General features: G+C 35.4%; 1 protein-coding gene and 1 long non-coding RNA gene across 30 annotated transcripts in view, besides 8 other annotated features; one reads left to right on the forward strand and one right to left on the reverse strand.

Moving 5' to 3' along the window:
• SLC35B3 (solute carrier family 35 member B3) lies at positions 1 to 24133 on the reverse strand. 28 transcript variants are annotated; one of them, NR_109913.2, is made up of 12 exons: positions 23794 to 24111; positions 22951 to 22996; positions 18430 to 18723; positions 16503 to 16624; positions 11036 to 11190; positions 9287 to 9394; positions 8146 to 8243; positions 7310 to 7451; positions 5968 to 6060; positions 5450 to 5561; positions 3474 to 3543; positions 1 to 2265 (listed from the first exon to the last, which is right to left on the reverse strand). NR_109913.2 is itself a non-coding variant. In XM_011514648.2 (12 exons), the coding sequence occupies exons 4-12, from the start codon at positions 18628 to 18630 to the stop codon at positions 2115 to 2117; spliced, it is 1110 nt and encodes a 369-aa protein (XP_011512950.1). In that variant the 5' UTR covers positions 18631 to 18723; positions 20773 to 20840; positions 22951 to 22996; positions 23909 to 24133; the 3' UTR covers positions 1 to 2114. The 28 variants fall into 28 exon arrangements, 23 of the variants coding, with proteins under 23 accessions (XP_011512950.1, XP_047274800.1, XP_047274801.1 ...); XM_011514648.2 differs by lacking the exon at positions 7310 to 7451 and adding an exon at positions 20773 to 20840 and having other exon boundaries at positions 23909 to 24133; XM_047418844.1 differs by lacking the exon at positions 7310 to 7451 and adding an exon at positions 20773 to 20840 and having other exon boundaries at positions 24005 to 24111.
• Positions 21119 to 21288: an enhancer, noted in NCBI's record as "experimental_96094 CRE fragment used in MPRA reporter constructs". NCBI's record gives its function as "activates a minimal promoter by MPRAs in K562 erythroleukemia cells, with activity observed for the introgressed 6:8432871 variant allele {active_cell/tissue: K562}" and the evidence as "EXISTENCE:reporter gene assay evidence [ECO:0000049][PMID:34662402]".
• Positions 23739 to 23878: an enhancer, noted in NCBI's record as "active region_23959". NCBI's record gives its function as "activates an Ori minimal core promoter by ATAC-STARR-seq in GM12878 lymphoblastoid cells {active_cell/tissue: GM12878}" and the evidence as "EXISTENCE:reporter gene assay evidence [ECO:0000049][PMID:35858748]".
• Positions 23739 to 24392: a biological region, named in NCBI's record as "H3K27ac hESC enhancer GRCh37_chr6:8435518-8436059".
• Positions 23851 to 24392: an enhancer, noted in NCBI's record as "H3K27ac hESC enhancer chr6:8435518-8436059 (GRCh37/hg19 assembly coordinates)". NCBI's record gives its function as "activates a minimal SCP1, AML or CMV promoter by ChIP-STARR-seq in naive H9 embryonic stem cells {active_cell/tissue: H9 hESC(naive)}" and the evidence as "EXISTENCE:reporter gene assay evidence [ECO:0000049][PMID:30033119]".
• Positions 23889 to 23948: an enhancer, noted in NCBI's record as "active region_23960". NCBI's record gives its function as "activates an Ori minimal core promoter by ATAC-STARR-seq in GM12878 lymphoblastoid cells {active_cell/tissue: GM12878}" and the evidence as "EXISTENCE:reporter gene assay evidence [ECO:0000049][PMID:35858748]".
• Positions 24149 to 24318: an enhancer, noted in NCBI's record as "experimental_96097 CRE fragment used in MPRA reporter constructs". NCBI's record gives its function as "activates a minimal promoter by MPRAs in K562 erythroleukemia cells, with activity observed for both the introgressed and non-introgressed 6:8435901 variant alleles {active_cell/tissue: K562}" and the evidence as "EXISTENCE:reporter gene assay evidence [ECO:0000049][PMID:34662402]".
• The window catches only part of LOC100506207 (uncharacterized), a 349823-nt gene continuing 348286 nt past the window's right edge, over positions 24189 to 25725 (forward strand). For both annotated transcript variants that reach the window (NR_038980.1, NR_038979.1), the window contains exon 1: positions 24189 to 24744. This is a non-coding gene — a long non-coding RNA (uncharacterized LOC100506207). The remainder of the gene's footprint in view (positions 24745 to 25725) is intronic.
• Positions 24259 to 24338: an enhancer, noted in NCBI's record as "active region_23961". NCBI's record gives its function as "activates an Ori minimal core promoter by ATAC-STARR-seq in GM12878 lymphoblastoid cells {active_cell/tissue: GM12878}" and the evidence as "EXISTENCE:reporter gene assay evidence [ECO:0000049][PMID:35858748]".
• Positions 24419 to 24508: an enhancer, noted in NCBI's record as "active region_23962". NCBI's record gives its function as "activates an Ori minimal core promoter by ATAC-STARR-seq in GM12878 lymphoblastoid cells {active_cell/tissue: GM12878}" and the evidence as "EXISTENCE:reporter gene assay evidence [ECO:0000049][PMID:35858748]".

Raw genomic sequence — 25725 nt, forward strand, 5'->3', positions numbered from 1 at the left:
TAAGGCTTTGATAAGTCAAATTTATATTTTATCAAAGATTTGAGAAAGTTGACAAGTTTTTCTTTCAAGTACAAATCCTTTTCTTCTTAAAAGTTTAAGGCAGCATAATGAAGTATGCATTAAGATCCCGTCTATCTTAAGCCAGGAAAAATTTTAAATGATTACCACTTGGGAAAAAACAATGGCTGTATTTCAGCAAATGGGCAAATGAAAACCAGTCCGAATTCCTCATGCTGGACCCCTCCATGATACAGGCTCTGTTGTACCTGCATATGCACATAACAGATTAAATAGCCATCAGAATACAATGGAATTTTAAGAATGAGATTAACTATTCCAAGTATATTATACTCACAAAATATAAACAGTGTCCCCAAGAGCACTAAGCTTTTTAAACCAGTATTATTTATATTGAAAACGAAGAATAACAGTATTTTTAAAAAATACAATAGAAGCAATTCTAAAAATCACTGCTAAAAATAAGTGCCCAAATCTTTGAATTTAGACTCAAAACTATGCATGCAACATTCCTATGGTCTGAATGTTTGTGTCCCCCTGAGATTCATTTGTTGAAATCCTAACTCCCAAAGTGATTGTATTAAGTGGTGGGGCCTTTTGGGAGGTGATAAGGTCATGAGGGCAGAGTCCTTGAAAATGGGATTAGCACCCAAGGGAGCTTGTTTGGCCCTTCATCATATAAGGACATAATGAGAAGGCTCCTTCTGTGAACCAGAAAGCAGGCTCTCACCAAATCTGCCAGCACCTCCATCTTGGACTTCCAGACATCAGAACTGTGGGAAATAAATTTCCATTGTTTATGAGCTACCCACTTATGGTATTTTATATAGCAGCCTGAATGTGCTAAGGCGGAAAATATTGTCCAAATTTGCTAACTCTACTTGTGTTTCTTAAATTTATCCTATTTTGTCCTCAAACTTCCAAATTAAATCTTACTTTTATGGAAAAAACTAGGATAATTTTATAATTATTTTATTATAATTTTGAGACATCAATTACTTTTTCTTCAATTAAAAAAAATCCAATCATGATTCCTTTGGGATTACTTGGGCAAACTGTAGCAAATTTTTCTTACTACACATACTTACATGATGCAGAATGATGTCTGTTTTTACTACCTTGCCTATATTCTACATAAAACTTAAAGCATGTCTTCTCTAAATCAGTGGTCCCCAACCCTTTTGGCAGTAGGGACTAGTTTCGTGGAAGACAATTTTTCCATGGACTGGGACAGGGGATGGTTTCAGGATAAAACTATGAAACTGTTCCACTTCAGATCATCAGGCATTAGATTCTCAAAAGGAGTGTACAACCCAAACCCCTTGCATATGCGGTTCATAACAGGGTTCCCGCTGCTATGAGAATCTAACGCTGCTGCTGATCTGACAGGAAGTGGAGCTCAGATGGTAATGCTCACTTGTCAGCCTCTCACCTCTTGTTGCGTGGTCTGGTTCCTAACAGGCCACGGACTGGTACCAGTCCACGGCCTGGGTGGTTGGGAGCTCCTGCTCTAAAGAATAATTTTAAATCAGAGAAAACTCAAGTTTTAAAGTTCATGTTAAGCCTTACTCCAACTTCCATTTCTCTCTTTATAACAAAATTCTATTAACACATCTTGAAAAAAGATCACAGAATAATTTTATTTATAATGAATGTTATTCTCTCCAGACTTCAACTCATCAGTTTACTCTTATAACAGAGAATCAATTTAAATAACACCATCAAAATGGAATGAATATAAAACAATCTGCTATTACGTATCGATTTCTTTGATAGGATATAATTATAGCCAATTAGTCTTGCAACACATGGTCCATTTCCAGTGAAATTCTCAATAAACTGCTAGGAATTACAGTCCTTCATATTGACATTTTATTGTAAAGTCTGCTAGACGTGGCTCTCTTGATTGCTTTGGAAGTCAGTCAAACAAATGCTCTGAAGAAAAGGCTGACACCGCAAAACAACTTCATATGAAATCTGTCCACAAATGGGATAGCAATGCCTCCAGATCCTTTGGTTTTTATCAGTCCCTTTGGAAAGTTAATTAATTGATGATTGTTCCCTTAAAATTCTATTTTAAATAGGACAATCACTGTCTATACAGTCTGTGCCAGCGTCCTTGACTTTCTTGCTTCCACTGATTTGTTTATCAAATCATACAGTGATGGTAGTCTTATTTTATCCATATTTTTGCTGTAAACATTAAGAAATATACCAAGGACAACTAACAAACCAGACCATACATACCTAAGAGAAAGAAATAAGGAAAAAAAATTAAAATTAGCAAAATAACAATTTACTATTAACCACAGAATTTGTTAATATGTCCATAATAATTCTTCAGTGAAGTAAAATTCTATTAGAAGCCTACAATAATAGCATTAAAATAAAAATAGTATTCTTAGATGAGATTTGATAGAATTCTGTATCTTTTAATAATGCATTGAGTAGATATAAAGAAAGATATTTTACAAAATTTTATATGACATAGTTCATTTGAACTTTGGGGATAACAGTATATTCAAAGTACAGTCCCCTACCAAAAGTCGTAAAAGTACACTTAAAGCTTTGGACATGTATATCTACCAAAGGCCATTTTGGTAATTAAACTCAGCTGTCCAACTCGTTGTCTCAGTTGGGTAGAATATAAAGGAATAAAAAGAGAAACATCCCTGAGAAAGTAGGGGAATCATTATAATTATATTTATGTATGACATAACACTATTATGTATTATACCTAGTACATACAGAAAGAAAAACTAGTTTATAGACAAATAATAATCTGTAATATATTGATGGAAATTAATTTTATGTTTCCCTCCAAACTTATAGATTGTTAAGTTCTGGGTTTGAAACTTCACAATCCTGACCAATATAAGTTTAAATGGTGCTAATGTCAAACAAATAGTAAAGACAGTAAATATGATAGTAAACACTTTCACACACACAAAAAATAAAAGCTTAGTTTAAAGTCTTTAGGATGTAACTTACAGAATATTTCTCTACCTTAAATCCTTTGTGGAAACAGGCATCAAATAAACTAGTATTTTTTTAAAGCATGTGATGTAAATACATAATTTACATATTTGCAGTAGGGCAAAGGGGAATCCCTTAATCTCAACAACGTACACATCACTCATATTCACTCATAATGGAAACAGGTCACATTTGCACTGGACTCTGGTTAGGCAATTTAAGTATACAAAATGATAAATTCAAAATAATAAATTACCAACATTTCCAAAATAGCAGAAGACACACTGATAGTTAAGAGATCAAGATGAAAAGGTTTCTTTATAAAGCATAACAGGAAAAAAAACCACATTAATTTATATAAAAATAAATACACTTACTACAAAAAAGAAAAAGTAGAAAAGTTGAAATTAAGATTAAGAGGAAATGTGAAACACAGTATCTAAAAACTGAGAAAAATTGTTTAATTAAGAAGTACTTACTGAAACGTGAATGGTTTAGCAAAGAATATAAACGAAAGTACAATGGTCATTGCTTTTCTTCCTGTTGTCACTGTAGGAGCAAAAAATTAGTTTAGAATGTGCCTATTATCTTGACAATATTTTAGAAATCACTTATTCAGCAAATATTTAGACCTGACTATATGCCAGAATCTGTTGAGGTGCCAAGGTGACAATGGAAAGTAGAAACCAACCAACCAAACACACGCACAAAAGTCACTGTTCCCTGTTACTATGGAGTTTAGTCTTGTAGGGAAACAGACATTAAATAATTAATACAGTTAAATGTTAAAGTACAACTGTAGTAAGTACTTGATGGAGGCTATGGTATTACGAAGCCACAGTTTAAGTCTTAGAGAAAGGCTTTCCTATGGAAGCTATGATTAGCTAGAGGCAGGGGTTATTCTTTAGAAACAGTAATCTAAAGGATATACTCATATCTTAATAGGGGTCATCTCTGGATAAGACTATAAGTAACCATTACAATCTTCTTTACGCAACTGTATTAACTTTTCCCTGTCCTTTGAAGTACTACACTTTGAAGTCTGCTGTAACGCTGGAAGCCTTCCTCCCTTCTGTCCCAGGCAGAGTGGGGAGATCTGCATAGATCTCCATGACAGTACTTTCCTCCTCACTGCACTATCGGTTGCCATCTTCCCACTTGACTATGTGCTTTACTTAGTTTCTTGCCTTATTCATCTGTATATTCCAAGACTCTACAGTTCCTGGCACTTAGTAATTTATGCATGAATGAATGAATTCCAAAGGAAGAAGCTGTTCTGGAAACGTGCCAGAGTCAGATTCCAAATGTCTGTTTTTTTCTTTCTATAGTAAAAGGACCCCTATTTTGAGTTGGGTATATGTTCCCTCTTCTCCTGCTACTAGGTGTGGTCATGTGTCTAGGCTATGGTGAAATGTGAGCAGAAGTGCTGTTTCTCGGAGTATGGCTTTTAGGATTTTCATCTTCTCTTACTCCATCCCACTGCATAGCATGAGGATGAAGATGGCACAGTGGACAGAAAGAACATGGGTTTCTCATGACCATGGAGTCACCATACCAGCTTAGAGGCAGTATAATGTATGGTGAAGAGCACAGGTGTGCAGCCAGACTGCCATCACTGGAACCTGGCTCTGGTTGACTATGAGACAAGTCACTTAACCTCCCCGTGCCTCAGTTTATCCATCTGTAAAATGGAATAATCATAGTGCCTAATTTATAGGACTGCTGTGAGATTAAAATAATGGTGTCTGGTACATACTAGGGCTATGTATGCATTAGCTATGATTATTGCCAGCTCTGGCTTTCTTTTACGTGAGAGAGGAAAACTCCTGCCTGTACCTCTAAGGCAAAAGCTGTGCCTTAGAGTTTTGGCAGATGACACAGGTGGCACATTGACTCATCTGTTCCCCTCACTAGGCTATACACTCCTCCAAAGCAGAACAAATACAACTGATTTTTCTACAGGGCCAAGCAAAGACCCTGCACACAGCAGGTGCATAGTGCTTATTGGTGAAAAGGGAAGCTAATCTGGTTGATGTCCTAGAAAATGTACAAATGAAAGGCCTAAAAAGCTTATTTAAAGTGTACCTCTCATACTTGAAATGCAACAAAACTGAAAGTTTCAGTTACAGGTTAAAAGCATATAAAGGCAGTACTTTCTTTGGAGGTCGTCATCTCATCATAATTTTATAGAAAGTTCTTTTAATGCGTTTAAGGGTTACTGTTCTGATAAATGTATATGTTTGATTTTAAAATTAAACCATCAAAATAAGAAATTAAGATCAAACAACATTTTCTTTAGAATTCTAAAGAAACACCATAAGCCAAAGAATAAATTGGTGAAATATGATAATTTTCTTTTTAATATAAAGGAGATGTTGCCCTTATGTTTTGAAAAAGAGCATCAGAGAAAATGTAAATGCTTATTTTATAATCAAAGCAAGTAAATCCCTCCTACCTGTTACAGCAATAAGTGCACCAAAAATTTTAATCAAAGCCAGAACAAAGGAGATTCCAAAATATCCAGTGAGGGAAAAAAGGAACGCATAACCATAGGTCCGAACTGGATTCTGCAAAAAATAAAAAAGCCTGTTAGAAAAATGTAAAACAAACTCCGAGGTATTACAAATAAAATAAAACTACAGATGTTAATCAACTTCTTGAGCAATAAGTTGTTTGACAATGCAGTCAAGCAAAGATTCTTATTTTGATTTAATGAAAAAAAAATGTTGAAATTAAAGATCCTCAACTTTCCTACATTATGAACAGCTTAAAAATCAACTCATAGGGTACAGCAAGGATAAAATAAATTTAAATATCAGTCATTTCATTTCTGAAATTAATTTCCGATTGGCATGTTATGTTAAAGGAGGTATCATTATATCTATGATAGCCTCTTTTGAACAAGGGAAATGAGAAATTTAGAGAAAATTATTTAACAGAAGATTTTTTTTTTTAAATGTGATTAGTGTTTACCTTTGCACAAAATGTTACTGCAGGGCCTAATCCACTAGTGCATGTCAATCCCAGTAAAATGTATACAAAACCAATTGAATACGAATACAATACCTAGAGCAGATAAAAATAAAGCAGAAAAAAGTACTATGAAACTGAAAATGGAAGATTAAGGGTTTTAACTCTATGGCTCAATTAGGTTTGCAGAACAAACATTTTAAAAGAAACATTATAATTTCAATATGGCCTAAATTTCCAGAAATGTTATTTGATTCTAATGTTTTATAAGTCTATGCCTCATTTTATGTACAAAATAACACCTAGTAATATTAATCCTTTCATATATGCTTACATATTCATTTCTTTCTAGGCTTAATTATTGAAATCAACCAGATTTTCATATTAGAGTTCTAAAAAAAATAAATGAAACAAAACAAAAAGCTTTAAAGATACTTATAAAACATAAAAAAATTAAGTTTCTAAAATACATTAAAATATAATGAAAATAAGCAGCATATGGCATATCTACTGCTTAACTTCTCTATTTTCCAACCAACCTTTTAATCCCAATTTACTATGCTTTTCATAAACAGAATCAGCAGCAGCAGCAGCAGCAGCAAACCTAAATATCTGCTGTGTGTCAGGTACTGTGTTGAAGCTCGGTACGGATTATTCCATTTACTTCTCACAACCACCCTAGATATGGGTATTCTTAGTTATCATAATCCAATTTCCAGATGAAGAAACTATAACTTAGAGATATTAAGTAATTTTCCCCAAATGAGTGCTAGTAAAGCCAGGATATGAACTGAGCTATCTTATTCCAGAGCCTACCATCATAAACACTGCATTATATTAACTTTCTAACAACCTACACTCCCTCAATTCTCTCTGTGCCCATCCTTACCTTATCTACAATGAGTAGTGATTATGATGAAGAAAATTCTTAACCAAGTTCCTGTGTTATTAGAGACTACCTAAGTTGCCCCATTCTGTGTCAAGAAAATAACAGGAAAGAATAGTCCTGTCTATCCTTAATTCAGTATGCTCTTTCTGTCCAGCAAGGTGGTTGGTTATAAAATTAATGTAAACACACACACACACACACACATACACACACATAATTTTCCTATATAAAAACCAGTTACAAGATATACAAAAAGACACTACTTGCAAAAAAAAAAAACAGTTACAAGAGATACAGAAAGATATTATTTGCAATAACCACAAAAAGATGAAATAACTTTAATAAGTTATTATTAACAATACCTTTAATAAGAAATGTGCTGGATTTACATGAAGAAAACTTTAAACTCTAATGGACATTGAAAAAAAGACCACTTGAGTAAAAGAAAAGTCATACCTTATTCTTGGACTGAAATAATCAAGATGCCATTCTCCCTAAATTAATTTATAATTCAATGCCATACCAATCACAATACCAATGGGATTTTTAGTTTATTTGGGAATATAAACACCCCAGAATAACTACTGGTAGTAATATTCTGCAAAAGAAAAGGAACAATGGTAGCTAGTCCTAACAGATAATAAATGTCTGATAAAGCTGCTGTCATTATATGTACTATTGCAAAAATAAATTCAAATACAATTCTGAATGCCACACAAGAGTGTGATATGATAAAGAGGGCATTTAAAATGAGCTGAAAGTGGATTATTCAATAAATGATATTAGAAAAAATGGTAGTCATTTGAAAGAAAAGTTCTTTTAAAAAAGTTTTAGATTGGATCAAGGGCTTAATAAAAAAGGAAATCACAAAACTAGTAGGCAACAGGGATGAAATGTTCTAAATCTCAGGGTTAGGAAAGCTCTTTTCAACCATGATACTTAGCCAGAAGCCAGCAAGGAAAAGACAAATTGGGCCATATAAAAATTACAAACTTCTACATGGAAAAATACTACCCACTAGAAAGAGATGAGAGAAAGGATATAACAAAAGATTTTATTTTAATACATAAAAAACTAAATCAATGAGGAAAAAATTTGTCAACTATGCAACAAGCGGTTAGCACTGCTAGTTGTAGTTTTAGTTTTTACCTTCCTATAATGTTTGAATGTATTACTTTTGTAAAAATGAGTTTAAAAATGCAATGCTAGTTATAATAATTATTTCATCAAATTACGTGTATCACCATTTTTTAAATCTGTCTAATTTGAAGAAAAAACACTAGAGTATTTACCATTTCAGAATTAGAAGCATTATGAAGTTTCATAGCTTTCTCTTGAACATTTCCAATGACGGCATCTGCACATAGTGCCAGGGAAATAAGCACCACACCTTCAAGAAGGTATTAAAAAAACAAACAAAAAAACCCTCCTTATTTAAACATATGAACTATAATCAAGCTTTATCAGAAATTTCATTGGTCTAAAAAACAAAAGCAGATCTTCAACTACATTTGTTCGGTAATCCAGAATATTCTTATTCACAATCGGTTGTAACAAGTACATATGTGATGATATTAAAAAAGATATACTAATAAACTGAGTTAGTTCTGTACATATCACATTTCACATTTCAATAGCGTATTAAATAACAGTTCCATAAATATTCTACTAGTCTAATAGTTCCACTAGTTCTGAAAGTGTAGAAGAAACTCTTAGGATATCTATCTATTGGGATTGGTGGCTATTCAGTTAATTAAAAAAAAAAAAAACAGATGAAGAGAAAAGTCATTTTTGAAAAACCCTATTATTACTAAAATGTTTAATTTAAATCACATAAACAGGCACGCTGCTGTCAGGGCCTTTTTCTTTGAGCATGGGTCCTGAATAGAATTCCATATTTTCTCCTTTGTATAAACACACTCAGCACACATTTTCCATGATTTCCAAGGTGTTTTTGTTTAAAAGTGCCCTGCAGAGTACAGAATCCTTTCATATGTTTATGAGCTTCCCTCCAATATTCACAGTGGTTTTACCCACACCTCATTCAATAGTGATTTTATTGCTTGTCAATCAAGTTGTGTCAGTTAACTCAGTTTTCACAAAAACAATTATTTGTTCATATTCATTTTTGAATAACGTAATACTGAGTTACGACATAATTATAATAAAGGTACAACTGACATAAACAAATCTGAGTCAACACTTCATTCCTGAGAAGCATCAAAATGCATGCACACTAAAAAACAAACAAATTGTTTTATCTACAGAGCTGTGATATTTTCACTACATCTTATATGGAAAGTCCAAAAGCTTTATGTTAGATATGAAAATTGCAGCTGTCACACTATCATTTAAAATGCTTACAAAATATTCGAAATTCGTATTCTAAACTAAAAAGCCTATAAAAGCTAGGAATATAAATAAATTACTTACCCGTCAGGTTGAAATTTGGTGCAGTTGTGCTGTCAGCGAGGGTAAACCATATCAGGCCAAGGCTCATACATATGGCAGCAGACACATCTGCAACATTATAACGCTTTCCTGTATAAAACAAACGTAAGTCCACTTCATTATGCAAATACCCACCCAGCTTTATATTTGCTCTATGTGTTAAGTAGAACATGGATTTGTTTTTTTATATCCAATGCCAAAAACGTGAACACTTAGGTCAAGGCAGAAGACAGTCACAAGAGGGCTTCTGAAAACTACCAATGGGCAGCAATATGTCCCTGTAAGTTAGAAACGAGAGCTACTTTATCTGGTATAATAGTGACACTAAAATACATACTTTGGCAAAAACTGACAGCAAGAATAATGCACATCCACAAACATTTAAAAAATTTCCTGGAAATTTAGTTCCTGTTTTACTTTGTGCATAATAAAAGGTTATGAATTTTCTCGTAGTTTGTAAATTTACGAAGTAACCAGATTAATGAGTCTGGTTACATAACTGTTTAAGTTTGCAAATATCATAATGTGATAACTTCCAGGCAGGTGAAAATTAAATTATTTTCATATATCATTATTTTAAAAATAAAATGTAGTATGACTTTTTTGTAAGGTTTATAACGACAATATTATATATGCCTAGTCAGTTGGGACAATAAATGTGATTTTTAATAGGGATTGAGGTCAATTATTTTTTCCTATATGAAGTTATCCTGAAATGATACGTGAAGTAGTTGACAACACTTTCATTTTTAAAGGCTTATTCTGGGATGGTATCTAATGCATAAATGATATCAGGCTGTATAAGAACTTCAGTGATACAGAAACACCCGACTATTAAAACACGAATATTCCTCGTGACAATTAATGTGAACAACAGAAGCTACTTCCACTGTTTGTTGCTATCACTGCCTCCTCTTTTACTCGTATTTCCACAAAACTTGTCACTTAGCTGGGGCTCTAAACATCACTAAAGCCAGCAGGTTGGTAAAAACGCAGTTCTGCTCAGATTAAACTTTACTTCAATATGAGAACTGCCCATGCACAATGGAAGTGAAGGGTAGACCCCTGGAGAGTAGAAGAATGAAGGAACTGAAAAAAGGGACCTTTCCACGTACTTTTGAACTAGACCTTTAATACGTAAATATAGTATTGCTGGAAATGTGGTAGATTCCAAAATAAAATAATAAAAACAAAGTATTATCTTTTCTTTTTCTTAAGTCCAAATTACTGACTTCAGAAACTAAGGCATATAAGTGTTTGTTTGTTTGTTTGTTTGTTTGTTTTGAGATGGAGTCTCGCTCTGTCGCCCAGGCTGGAGTGCAGTGGTGTGACCTCGGCTCACTGCAACCTCTGCCTCCTGGGTTCAAGCAATTCGTCTGCCTCAGCCTCCCAAGTAGCTGAGACTACATGGATACACCACCATGCCTAGCTAATTTTTGTATTTTTAGTAGAGACAGGGTTTCACCATATTGGCCAGGCTGGTCTCGAACTCCTGACCTTGTGATCTGCCCACCTTGGCATCCCACAGTGCTGGGATTACAGGCGTGAGCCACTGTGCCTGGCCATCAGTGTTTTTAGAATACCTTATTTTGGTAAGACATAATTCAGAATTGTTACAATATCTAGAATGCTCATTGAAAATGTAATAGAAGTTTAATGTTTTTCCTAATGCTAGATGCCATAACATAGCCTATTAGTTTTAAATAGTATAAAAACATATCATTACTATACCTTGAATAAAAACTCCTCCTAGCATAACAGGAATCAATTTGCAGCACTTGAAGATGACTTGGGTAGGGTAATTCAGGTAGCCCAAGGAAGTGTTTGATAACCCCATAGTACCCACAGTTAGAAAAGCTATTATCATGTAGGTTTTTCCTGGTATTCTGTAAAAGACAATTTTTAAAACCTTCATTTTGGGACCCAATTCATACTACTAAAAGATAATGTGTTCACATTGTGTAAATGTCTAATTACTTTTCTAATTTCTGGTTACTATTTCTGGAAATATCAGTAAAAAATATCACTATTTAAAAACTGTAATGCTCTTGTATAAAAAAGTTTATAAAAATAACAATTTACCTTTATTTAGTCAATCATAAACGAGGCCACTCAATTATGTAAAAAAGAGTTTAGATTTTTACTGAAGGTATAAATGTTGACAAAAGGTTTTTTTTTTTTTTTTAACAGCAGTTCTAGCCACAAATAAAAACCATCTTAACCATCTTAAGTTAGAGAAAAAGAGCTTCTTTTGTTGTTGTTTGCTTGAGATAAGGTCTCGCTCTGTTGCCTAGGCTGGAGTGCAGTGGCATGATCTCAGCTAAGTGCAACCTCTGCCTCACGGGTTCAAGAAATTCTTTTGCCTCAGCCTCCTGAGTAGCTGGGACTACAGGTGTGCGCCACCATGCCCAGCTAATGTTGGCCTCCATAATGGTAAAAGGTACCTTAACATTTTAAAACTAATTTTTAACTCTTGAATTGTTGTTCTGTTTCCTAATGTTTCCATCTAGCATTAGGAAAAATACATCTATCCATTCTGCTAAAATAACCCAAGATTTTCTCTAGGAAAAGTTCATGTGATTTAAAACCCTAGATGTAATTTTTATTATAATATCTTATAGATCATCTCTCTATATTCTATGTTATAATAATCAACTTTTAAGATGAGGTATCTGACTCTCTCATGATTTCAAGTCTTTTAACTTTGGCTCTATCTAAAGTTCCTAAAGGAGATTCTTAATTTAGCATCTTCAGAATTTTGAGCCATTACTGTGAGCATATGCTCACTTTGACTAGATATTTAATGGTCTAAACTAATAATCTTGTCTACTGGTATGACGAACACAGACACAATCAGGCACTATTCATACTGATAATGCTGGAGAGTTAGATGTAATTTCCATTTTAGAATTTGTGTTCACATTGAAATCAAGGCAACAAAATTTCTCATCTTATATATGGTTAGATATAAGGTAAAATAATTTACTGGAAAAAGTCAATTAAAATGCATCATTTACATTCGATTCTGAGGGGTTTTTTTCTACTTAACTACTAATATAGTAGTTAACCATGAAAATCCACGTGGAAACAACTTGGCATGCCCATATGCATCAGTGTAAATGCGTTCATGCCATCCATGGGGTTTGACCCTCATTGGGATATCATCAGTGATGGTGGAGCACCACTTCGCCAGGTAAAATGATACAAGTCAAGGTGGTCAGATTTTCTCAAAGATAAATGGCAAATCATTGGCAGAAAATAAAAATTCAAGTCAGAAGAATTACAAGGAATGAGTAGAAAAGTAGCACAGTACAGGTAGAAAGAAAACCAGCCTGACAGGGGAACTAAATCCAAAAGTAGCTCCAAAAGGAGCTCAAAAAATTCTGAGCAGTCCTCTAGGTCTTTGTTTTCTCATTGGTATAATGAAGAAATTAGATTTGATCAGCTTGCCTCCAGGATACTCACTATTTCTATTTTATTTAATACATCAATTGCTTGCTTCCTTAGAAATGGGGAGAAAATTTTTTTTTTGAGACGGAGTCTCGCTCTTGTTGCCCAGGCTGGAGTGCAGTGGCGCCATCTTGGCTCACTGCAACCTCCGCCTCCCAGGTTCAAACCATTCTCCTGCCTCAGCCTCCTGACCTCCTGAGTAGCTAGGATTACAAGTGCCCGCCACCATGTCCAGCTAATTTTATATTTTTAGTAGAGACGGGGTTTCACCATGTTGGCCAGGCTGGTCTCGAACTCCTAACCTCAGGTGATCAACCTGCCTCGGCCTCCCAAAGTGCTAGGATTACAGGCGTGAGCCACTGCACCTGGCCGGGGAGAAAATTTTAACTTTAAAAACCTCTTCAAGACAAATCTGAGCACTCTCCTTAATTAGAAACTTATACTAATTAATAATAATGTTACAAGGTATTCTTTGATGAAAAATAATAAGCAGTATATTTAGGATATTACAGTTTATGATGTACTTTAGCACGCATTACCACATATGAGCCTCAAGATAAAATTTAGAGTATTATAGAAACTTCTCTGAGGTCTTGACAGATGTAATAAGACCCAAGTGCCAAGACCCAAACCCATGTTTCTAACTCCAAATTCTCAACGAGTATTGATGTACTTATTCCAGTATGTCGGTATTCACATAAATGTGGGAAGAAGAAAAAAATAACAACAGCAAAGAGTTTAGCTAATTAAAGGTCTAACGAGTAGCAGTACCATTAAATAAATTCAGATATGGGTGTATTTGCAGAAATAAATTCAGAAAGGTTTCAATTCATAATTACATTTATTATAAATACATAAATTATTCTCCCAAATTATTTCACTTATATTTAAATCAAGTACAAATTATTTTATTTTAAAATATGTTATGGTCACGTGATTTAAAAGTTGGGATAAACATGGCTTGAGGCCCCCTCCCCTCTCATCGGGGTAGCTGATAGGGAGGTGTTTCTTTCTGAAATGTAACAGAACATGCATCATCATTGTATCATTTTTCACCTACAAAGATAGTATTAGTGTCTTTTACCTTAGAAGCAATCTTACCTTAGAAGGCCCAGTAGTTTGTAATAAGTAGTAAATCATCATCAAGCTTCCTTATATATTAGTCTTGACAGATATATTTAATTACCTATTCTATCACCTATGGCTATTCCCAGTACTCCTCTAGGTCTTTGTTTTCTCATTGGTAAAATGAGGAAGTTGGATTTCATCAGCTTGCCTCCATGATTCTATCATGGAGAATCATGATAGAACATAAAAATAATGAAGATGATATTCTAAGGTTCAAATATTTTTACAATAATTGCTACAATAATTTATTGGCAATAAAGACAGGTTGAGAGGCAAAATTAGACCCATGAAGAAACCTGTAATATAGATTTAAATATGTAAAACTGTAGTTACCTTGATACAAACTTCAACACCATTTTATGATTAAAAAAAAAGCTGCACAATTTTTGAAATCTTCACTAAAGGATTAAACATTTGTATCAAGGTATGTCAGTATTACAGTCGTTATTACATTTAAACTGCCCAATAGATACACGATATATACACACATTAGGGTACGACAGAAGGAGCACGCTTCTTACATTAACCAAGAACATTTTATATTCAAATTCCTAACCACTTTCTGTTTATAATCAGAGACTAAGTTTTATTGCATATTGTTCTAGATGCCATTAAAGATATATCAAGATATTTCTCAAATCTAGATGGTTGCTACCTGAAATGATATTGTCAAACAAGCACATTTGGTCTTGATGAAAAGGAATGAGATTTGTTTCTCTAATGCTTAAGAACGCAACCTCAGCTATCGGACATCATATGGCAATGTTAGCTGGGGCATATCCCACAAAATATAACTTCACATTCTAAAAAAGCAGAATAACAATAGATACAGACTTGGTATCCCTCATCCAAAATGCTGGCGACCAGAGTGTTTCAAATTTCGATTTTTTTCAGGTTTTGGAATATTTGCATCTGCATAGTAAGGTATCTTGGGGAATGGGACACAGGTCTTAATATGAGATTTATTTATGTTTCATATATACATTATACACATAACCTGAAGGTAATTTTATAGAACATTTTTGATATGGTTTGGCGCTGTGTCACCACTCAAATCTCATCTGGAATTGTACTCCCATAATTTTCATCTGTTGTGGGAGGGACCCAGTGGGAGGTAATTTGAATCATGGGGGTGGTTTCCCCCATATTGTTCTCATGGTAGTGAATAAGTCTCACAAGATCTGATGGTTTTATCAGGGGTTTCCGCTTTTGCATCTTCCTCATTTTCTCTTGCCACCACCATGTAAGAAGTGACTTTTGACTCCTGCCATGATTCTGAGGCCTCCCAAGCCATGTGGAACTGTAAGTTCAATTAAACTTCTTTTTCTTCCCAGTCTCGGGTATGTCTTTATCAGCAGCATGAAAACGGACTAATAACAGTAAATTGGTACCAGGAGTGAGATGTTGCTGAAATGAGACCCAAAAATGTGGAAGCAACTTTGGAACTGGGTATCAGGCAGAGGCTGGAAGAGTTTGGAGGGCTCAGAAGAAGACAGGAAAATGTAGGACAGTTTGGAACCACCTAGAGACTTGTTGAATGGCTTTGGCAAAAAAGCTGATAGTGATATGAACAATAAGGTTCAGACTGAGGTGGTCTCAGATGGACATGAGGAACTTGTTGGGAACTAGAGCAAAGGTGACTCTTGTTATGTTTTAGCAAAGAGACTGGTGGCATTTTGCCCCTGCCCTAGAGATCTATGGAACTTTGAGATGATTTAGTGTATCTGGTGGAAGAAATTTCTAAGCAGCAAAGCCTTCAAAAGGTAATTGGGTGCTGTTGAAAGCATTCCATTTTAAAACGGAAACAGAGGAAAACGGTTCAGAAAATTTGCAACCTGACGATGCAGTAGAAAAGAAAAACCCATTTTTTGAGGAGAAATTCAAGCTGGGTGCAGAAATTTGCCTAACAAGGATCTGAATGTTAATCCCCAAGACAATGGGGAAAATGTCTCTAGAGCATGTCATGGGTCTTCATGGCAGCCACTCCCATCACAGGCCAGGAAGCCTAGGAGGAAAGAAAGGTTTTGTGGGCTGCACCCAAGGTCACTATGCTGTGTGCAGCTTAAGAACTTGGTGCCCTGCATCCCAGCTGTCCCAGAGCTGGTCATGGTGCACATTTTATATCATTTTGTGCACAAAACAAAATTTGTGTTAAGTACTTATGTTTGGAAGTTTCCACTTGTGTCACATTGGCACTCAAAACTTTTCTAATTTTGGAGCATTTCTGGATTTAGGATTTTTGGATTAGGATGCTCAACCTGTACTGATATTTCATTTCACCACTGTGATGTTAGTTGTACTACAAATCAGTAACTGCACCTATTTCAGCAGAATTTATACAAATCAAGTATGTACATTGTGTTTTTTATCATGTTGTAAGAACATATAACACTAAGTTGAGCCTAAAGCTAATATTTTTTTATTTTGTAATACTGCATTTAAGACTTTATTTTTTTCAGTGTATAAATGAATAAAATGTATTTAGTATTAAGTTAGTTACACTAAGAGTTCGTGCCTATCACATGTTTTGTTAATAGAAGTATAAATTTCATGCATATTCAGTATGCCAAAAAAATTCAACTAATATAGAAATATCAAAAAATAAAAACAAACCACATACCTCCTCCTTTTGTCCTGAATAAGCTGAAGTTCTATTAGGCCAAATATGGAGTAAAAGGCAAACTGCACTAAGGTAAGGTACCAGCCACAGGACTTAAAACCCTCCACTGAAAATATTAATTCCTGTCAAAAGACACATGAACACTGTTAAGTCCAAGGCAGCACACTAATTTCCTAAAAATAAATTCTTAGAAACACAACATTTTTAAAGAAACCAAGCCCCACCTCCAACAACAACAAAATGTAAATTAGAGAGGTTAGAAGCTCTTTCATATTGGTAATGTTATTTTTTGAAATTCTTGTGCCATAGATGATATAAACCTTCTTCTTTTAGAGGAAATGGTTAATTTGCCTAAACATGTTATATTATAAAGCAATATTTATATCAGTTATTAATAAGCCATTCTTAACAAGTCACTAAGAGTTATTCTAATAGTTATCTGGTTTAATTTTAATTGAATAAGTCAAATTGATCAATAAATCAAATTGAATAAATGAAGTGTATGTATGAATATGCATACATCTATAAAAAACACTTCATTACCAAACCCCAACCATTTTCTCTGAACTATTTTGATATGTAATTATAAGTAATAGTAGCAATGTCAGTTTTTACAAAATCAAAGTGGTTAAGTTATAAATACAATTAGCAGGGGTTTGTGTAATTTAAAAAACTTTGCATAAACCAATTATAAACTAAAATATCTGATTATTAATTAGAGAAAATTTATTTAATGACACTTACAGGGTGAATTTCAAATTCATTTTCCATTGCAATGGCTAACTCTGTTCCCAAGCTATTTGGTAACAGTGGTATGCTGAAGAAAAAAATGTTTCTAAAATGTTTCTCAACAAGAAATTCTAATCTCTATTTTTAATTGTTCTTCATTGTGGCATCTCAAGTTTTATATCACCTACTAGTGGAATATCAGTTATTATAAATATTAAAATTTTTAATTCATTTTTGTTTTACATTAATATTGTTCATAGCATTCTTGCAAGCTAACTAAAAAACAGTCACAATTCCATGTTCACTTACATTTCCCTTGATGATCATCTCTACAAGACAATGAAAAAGAATACAACAATTTTTAAATTCACTAACTTTTTAGTACTAAAGAATACTGGAAATATCTGTGTTTTAAGAAAATACATCATTTTCCTTTCCTTGAATTACAAAGGTTTTCTCAAGTTATGGGAAAATATCCACTAATTAAATGACCATTCATAAAATTAGAACCCATTCCAACATCCTGTTTTCACTAGCCTGGATCCTCACCCATCCAGCCCATGTCTTTGAAGGTCAGAAATCTGCTCCTAGCCAAAGGTATATAACTTTTCCAAATATAATGTAAATATAAGACAAATTGTTGCAGTATCAGAAATGTTTTGTGCCAGCAAAAAATCACAGAACAATAAGATTCTGGCAAAGTTAGAAGACAAAACCAATAAGAATGAGAATATAAGAGGTGTTTAAAAAAGAAATAATTCAAATATTATAGGATTAAAGAGATACCTTTAGAAAACCATAAAATATCCTGATACATTTTTGCAAAAATGATCTTTTATTATTGAGCTCCAAGAATCAAGTAAACTGCACTATCATTCAATAATATTCCAAGATACCAATCAATACGTGAATCATTGCTTTCTCTTGGAAGCACACATTTTGTTAAATATTTAAAACTTAATTTTCATAATGAAAATTTTTCAAGATAGTCTCTACATATGCCTCCTCCCCACTTAAATTATTTAACTCTTGAATTTTGATCTGTTAAGAAGCTCTTTTCTACTCTATACTAAAAAATTCAAATTTATGAATCAGCCAGTATCCCCTAAGTGACTATCTTGGGCAAAACTAGTAAATGCCCATACTGACCGCAATTATTATAAATAATTAACATATTACAAACATATAACTTTTTTACCTGTAAATACCCATAAATTAGGTAAAATACAAAAACTCCAGCAACACATATGAAAAACTGAGTAAGTTTGTTAAACTTGCTGAGATTCATGCCAAGTACCACAACGTCGTCAACTGACTTGATGTGTGGTGACATTGTTTGGGTTTTGGATGGCACAGTGATAGAAATATATTTCCTGGAATTGTTGAACTTGAGATCCATTGTTATTTTGCTGCATTCAATGCTTTCAGAGTTATTTTTGTTGGTTTCCTGGACTGTTATGTTCTGTATGTCTTTTGCTTGCTGTGTCAAGTCCTAGAGAAGGAAATAAGCAATTAAAACATTTACATGATAAAGTTTAATCCTCCAAATAATATTCCAAATCATACTTTAAAGTTATACAAATGTCTGCTTCTCTCTGGATATTAGTATATTAATTCCTGTATTCTAGGTTCCAAATCACCAAAAACAATATGCCTACAATCTTTAAACAATTTGTCTACAGCTGATAAAGATTAGTACATCATTAAACTGAATATAAACCATACTTATTTCCACAGCAACAAAAGCTAGTTATTTCATCAAAGAACTAAACATGTCTTTGTGTCTATATATAGTTGATGCATAACATTCTCAACATTAAAGTCAATCTTCACTTGTAGAGGAGTAAAAAATAAGTAATTCTCCTTTAAATACTAAGACAATTCTAAGATATATTTGCTAATGACATTTAAAAAATAAACTAAAAAAATGAAGGCCAGGTGTGGTGGCTCATGCCTGTAATCCCAACATTTTGGGAGGCTGAAGCAGAGAGGTTGCTTGAGACCAGGAGTTCAAGACCAGCCTGGGCAACATAGCAAGACCCTCTCTCTACCAAATAAAATAAAATAAAATAAAATAAAAAAATTAGCTGGACATGGTGGTGCATGCCTGTAGTCCTAGCTACTTGGGAGGCTGAGGCAGGATGATCACTTGAGTCCAGGAGTTTGAGGCTGCAGTAATCTATGATTGCACCCCTGCACTCCAGCCTGGGCGACAGAGCCAGACCCTGTCTCTAGAAAATAAATGAAAAAAACAAAACAAAGAAACCCCAAACCTAAGGTCCTTAAAAAGCTAGATTTATCAGAGACTACAGAAAGCACAATATGCTTCAGCAGTAGCATCTCTTAGGTTAAAAAATGTTTTCTTCCTCTGGAACAAATCATTTTAATTTACATTCTTCTGGGATGTAAAAGGCTGGAGAAAACATGTCATTTTTTGTCAGTCTAAAAAAAATTATGAAGCCATCAATTTCTCTTTGGATTTATATAAACTGAAAAAATGAACTCCATGTAAAGACTGAGGAAAGACTGAAGAATTATGACAAAGTATAGAATAAACCTATGTAAAAGAAAAAGTTATTTTCTTAGAAACGACTCATCTGTTTTTAATTCCAGTGGGAACAAAAATTTAAACTCTGCGGCACGAAGAGAAATAAGAATAATTTTGACAGTGAGTTTTCCTTTGGTAATGTTTTTTTAAACTGTTACAAGATGGCTTAAAATGGCCAAAATTAGAGTCGCCTCTTCATGATCACTTCTAGTTTGCTAATTTACAGAGGTTAACCAGGTCATCCTTAGGAATTAAAGGAGGGGTCAAGGATCTGAATACCACTTGTAACTAAAAATATGCAGCCACCACAACATTTTATAGGGCACCTGCCTTATTTCTAAATAGAAAAGTTGTTTCATGAAGTTTACTGTGTTCCTCTTGTTTATTCTTCACTTTCCTTTGTTCTTGCTTCCCACATTATGTTTCAATCACTGTCATTTGTAAGACTTTTTATGTAATCTTGCAGGGTATCTTTGAGATGTGACTTTCTTTTAAAACCATGCTTTAAATTATCTCTCCTAAATATTTGGTCAAACCTGTGCTTGAATGTAGAAGAGACGAAAACCTTAACAATTTACTCTTTTCTATGTGTGAGCATGGATATAGTGCACCATTCAAATAAACCCGGCCTTACATAGGTTTCTAAGTTTGCTCTCCCTCCACTCTCAATAAAGCCCTAAACCACCCATGTTTCATTCCTGAAATACACCAGGGACTTTAAAACACCGCTGCCTTCTGTTCATGATGTCCTTTCAGCCTGAGGTCTTCTTTCTCAAGGTCAGGTTTGGAAGTTCAGCTTTAATATCCCCTCCTTTGTGACACCATCACTAATCCCCCCAGTTATTAGAAAAGAGAACTTGAAAGGCAAGATTCAAATCTTATTTGTCTCTGTGTCCTTGGTACCTGGCATATACTCTGACCTGATATTCAGATGAACCAAATAAACTGATCCTTCCTCTTGATACCCTCAAACTTCAGCTTGCAATCACTCACCTTCTGCTTGGATACGATTTTTGAAATGGATGGTGGTACTGGCAAACTTTATGAGCAAAACTGAAAATCTTATAGAAAAAGAGTGGGGAAAATTTACAAATAATGCTTACATATTTACACATACATACAGAATAAATAAAACTTCTAGAAAATATCTTTCTTTCCTGCTTTTATTGGCATCAAAACATTTCTCCAGAAGGTCACGCTTTCCCAAAGTCACCTTCTTCTGAGATGTTTGTAATTTAGTAAACTGCCAAGCATATTGTAATGACTCAATACAATTATAGGTAATAGTATAAGAAAGCAGTATAGCATAATGCTTTCCCCATGCTTTGGAATTTTGACAGATATGAGTTCAAGATCTGGCTTTACTACTTATTAGCTGAGGAGCCTTGGGCAAATCGTTTAACTTTTCTGAGCTTTAGGTTCTGCACCTTCAAAAGTGGGAGGAGTTAAAAATGTGCCTATCACAGGATTTTGGTTAGGACTATATGAAATAAATGTAAAATTGCCTGGCATATGACAGTCCATAAGTGTGTTAGCTGTCATCCTTCAACTTTTTAGAAATATTGCTAGGGTGATATGGTGTGCTCAAGCTGACTCACCCCTTTGATGTGCAGCTGGAAATACAGACCTGAATTTCCAACGCTGCCTTCTCTCCTGAGATCCAGAGCTCTACGTCTAAATGCTTCTTTGATACCTCTACTCATAAGCTCTGCTGGCACTTCATATTTAAAATGGCCAAAGCTGATTATTTTCCCCTCAAAACAAATCTACTGTTTGTTCCTATATTCCCAATCTCACTTAACAGTACCTAGTATGAAACACAAGCTAAAAATCTGGGAGTCATCTTAAGAATCTTTCCTTTTCCTCACATTCTATATTTTGCCAAGATTCCTGTTAACTCTACCTCTATAACTATATCTAATATCTGTTTCGGACCCTACTCCATCAGGCAGCCATTTTCTCTTGCCTAGATTACGAGACTGTTTATAATCAATTCTTCCCTTTCTGACCCATCTGTCACATGGCTCAACGTGAAGTCTGATCATGCTGCATCCATGAATAAGGCCTCGAAGTTAAAAACGAGTTGATGTCCTGGACTCAATCATATTATACATATTTTTCAAATTCCTAAATGATAATGGTATAGCTTTTTCGTTTTTATACTTGTTTCTCCTAAAAGCCTATGAAATCCTTAAGGCAAGAGATATCTTCCTATGATGTTCTGGCACATAACAAAAATGTAAGATTAAATGAAGGACTCTACCACAGTTTAGCAAGCACCATTTATTTAATCAACGTTATTCAGCTCCTTTCCAACACTTTACCACTTCTAATACACTTCTTGGCAACTTTATGTGCTGCAGATCTAGGCCATATGTGCAGAATGAAATCTCTCTAGCACTGTCTTTTCTACATGTATGCCAAAATACCGACATTGCTACTGAAACTCCCCACAAAACATTTGAAATGAACATGAAAATAAATTTGTTTCCTCTGCCTGAGGCATCAGTCTCATAAAACTTGCCCACCAAAGCCTTGCATTTAGAATGCTGTTTTATTAATAAGAACATCACTGGTGAGAAAGTGTGACTGATAAAGACCTCTGATACCTAATAACTGTGATCATTGGGGAATGTCTGCCATATCCCTTCCACTTCAAACATTAATGACTGATACTAACCATCATCTAAAAAAAAAAATGGGCCAAACTCCTTGTGATGCAAGGAGCAAAAATGAAGCATGGAATTAAAATTAGTTTTCAGACTAAATGATCAACATTGTGCTTTGCTTTTGAAGCTCACAGTAATCAGTGAAACTAAAATATATATATATATATTTTAAAAATCACAGGTGTGTATAATTGCCTGAGGCCTCTTCCTAAATTCAACACAGATATTCAACTTCAACTGCTAAAATGGAATAAAAAGGTAGCATTTCCGGCATACAATGTATATTTAAAAATTAAAATTAGTGATAATGTTGAGTTACAATGACCTATTGAAGTCACAATTATTTCAGTTTATTTTTGAGTTTTCCGACCTGAAGGACAAAAGTCCCACACCAAAAAAAGGTAGAATATGAAAAAAAAGTCATTACGGTGTCATTAACCTGAAAAAACGTGATTTTAACTATACTTTGCCACACTCAACGTTACAAATAAAAGAATCTTACCATGCCATTATGCCTTGATTAACTGCGCTCCGGAATCAATCATGGCCTATGGTGTACGATTATAAAACAGAAAAAACAAAGTTCCATCTCATTTCTTTGTACACACATCATTACACAAAGGTGGAGAAACCCTGTGCTAATGTTTGAAGACTATTCTTTTTTTTTTCCAAGAGAAAAAGTTAACACTAGGACTTTATATATTAAGTAATTAAGTAAAAATAACGCTGTCTAAATTATTTTGAAATGCTGCCTCTCTTCCAAGTTCCAAACTATCTCAATTCACTTAGAAAAACGTTTAATCAAAAAACAATTCTAGGCTTCTGATATCCTAATGTAGAAAAAATGCAGATACTCAACACTTAAGATTTTGTTAGCGCACCAAATCATTCCATCTTTTACTTTCAATATTCCTTAAATAATAAAAAGACGGGAGAGATAATTCAGTTGCAAAGACTGGAGGAAACTTGCAGAACTTCTAGTGGAAGTTTATGCCATAAACTTAATAGCCCAGCCAGAACAATCACATTCTACTGCAAGCCAAATGGAGAAAAGAGTACCTTGGAGTGCCCCTATTTAATAAACACGGAACGAGGAAACAGTTAACTGTAAATACAGTCTAGAGGTATCCAGGTGACTGACAGTTCTCCAGAGACCCCGAGAACAGCGTAAAAGACCCCTTGAGGTCACCTCACCCCTGCGAGTCCACGGATTGGGACCTGAGGGAGTTCTCGCCAGCCCGAGGGCGAAAAACGGGCGAGGAGGAACAGATGCTCCTCCCTGGAAACCGCCCGGCCGGTTTCCGCTCTTTCAAAAAAGGGAATCACCCGTTTCTTCCATCCCGACCTCATCCATTCCTCGAACGCTCCTTCTGGATGAGGAAGATGGGCAGTGTCAAGGTTTTCTGGAGGAGAGGAGATCTGGGTCCCAAACACAGGAAAGGCCCCGAAGGCACGCGTACCCCAAGGCCGGTATGTCACCCGGAAGGGTGACGGCAGCCTGCGTGGCGTCTGAGCTAGACGGAGCATCTCCCCCTCCCCTGGTCCGTCGCCATCACCTCCTCTTCCTCCTCCTCCTCGCCCACTCCTGCACTTTCCACCGCGGCGGTCGCCTCCCCGGAAAGCACTCTCAACTCCGGCGCCCGCAGGCCACTTCCGCCTATGTGTCCCTGCGCGCGTGCGCAGACGCGTGGCCCCGCCTCCCGACAGGCCTGTGTGGCCGGTGGCGGGCGGGCCGTTACCTCCCGCGCATGCTCTATGGGGTAGAGACGCTAGGCCGGCACTGCCTAGGTGGGCCGGGCGGTGCGAGGGTCGCCTTTCAGCCTTTACCTCTACCCACTGAAATGGAGTAGGTCGGTGAGCGCCGATCTGCTGGAGAATCTCATTATCCCATCGGCGCTCTGCCTGCTCCTGGCCTCCAAGCCTCTGAAGCCCCTCGGGTTTCAGCTGCCGGCTACCCTCGAGCCCGTGGTGCCCACGAGAGAGGCGACTTTACGTCAGCGGCCCTGGGCTGAGATTTGAGAACGCGACCAAGTGGAGAATGTTGGAGCCAGATTTTAAAATCCTTGTCTTCCTTCTGCGTGCTACTTGATCTAAATGAGATACGGCAAAGTCACAGAACCTGTTTTTATGTTTTTGCCTGATTCATACGGGCTTCTCCGGTGAAGATGGGCCTGAAGTAACGCTTGGGTTGCTTCTGACGTTATAACTCATCCTGTAGCTGCAGCAACCGTGGTCCTTGCAACCTCATAAAAATGTTGCCAGCATTGTTTCGATAGTGCTGCTTAATTCTTGGAAGGTAAATCTCAAAGCTTGAGGACCAGCCATCAAAACTTTTGTAAAAGGTTTTCCCCGCGTTTAGGGCCTCATCCATCACCACTGAGATGTAATAACGTAAAAACCAAGACGGTTTGGGGATGAGCTGTTTTCAGAGAATAATTAAGGAAAATATTACTGTAACGAAGATGGACAATTTTTGAAAGCATGCCTTGAATACCAGAAAGGGATGAATTGGATTAATATGTATGTTAGAATCCAGTCAGTTATGGACAACTTTTAAAATTTTACAGGCACTCTTCAGAAAGGGTAGCATTTGTGTCTTGTATTGGGATCGAGGGTTTGTAAGAAAGCAAGGCACCTACTTTGGTGGTGAGAAAAAAAGGTCTGGGTAGACATTTTCGTTTAATACTTGCCAACGTTGTTAGGCTGGTGTTAGCAACACTTAGGAATGTTGGAATTAAGGCTTAGAGAACTTAAATTTCCTAAAGAGATAGTAAATGACAAAACCTTTCAGTGATGCCATATCGTCACTGTATAATGTGAATTTAGTACTACTGTTAGCCATTTATATGGTGGTTATTTATCAAGTATTTATTAAATGGGCATATGTATAGCTCATATCGTAAACTATGCGTATGAGCTCCCTGTCCTGAAGAAATTAGGGGTTTCCATGAGAAAGTAAATGGCAGTATAAAACAACTTAAGGTACAAGAGGTGTTACAAGGTACCATCTGCTCATGCCTGGACAATTGCAGTAGCCGTGAGCATAGCTTTCTGCATTCCCTTTATTTCTCTACATAGTTGCATTCAGCAGCTGGAGTGATCCCATTAGAACCTGAATATGCCACTCCTCTGTGCAGAACCTTTTAGCGGTTTACCATTTTACTCAGATTAAAGTTCAAAATTCTTACCCTGACTTTTAAGACTGAACTTATTCTTGATGGATCACATCCAAGCTACACTTCAGAGCTTTTCTAATTGCCCCCAAGCACAGCAAGCA

The sequence above is a fragment of the Homo sapiens genome, chromosome 6, assembly GCF_000001405.40.
Source record: "Homo sapiens chromosome 6, GRCh38.p14 Primary Assembly".
In the NCBI taxonomy this organism is placed as follows: Eukaryota; Metazoa; Chordata; class Mammalia; order Primates; family Hominidae; genus Homo; species Homo sapiens.

Excerpts from the sequence above, each read along its gene's own strand:
- SLC35B3 (XM_047418840.1), bottom strand. The coding sequence starts at position 23,975 with ATGCTCCGTCTAGCTCAGACGCCACGCAGGCTGCCGTCACCCTTCCGG. Across the intron at positions 6,061-8,145 it reads ATGCTTCTAATTCTGAAATG|GTATTGTATTCGTATTCAAT; the intron begins GTAAATACTCTA and ends TATCTGCTCTAG. Across the intron at positions 5,562-5,967 it reads CAGTAACATTTTGTGCAAAG|AATCCAGTTCGGACCTATGG; the intron begins GTAAACACTAAT and ends TATTTTTTGCAG.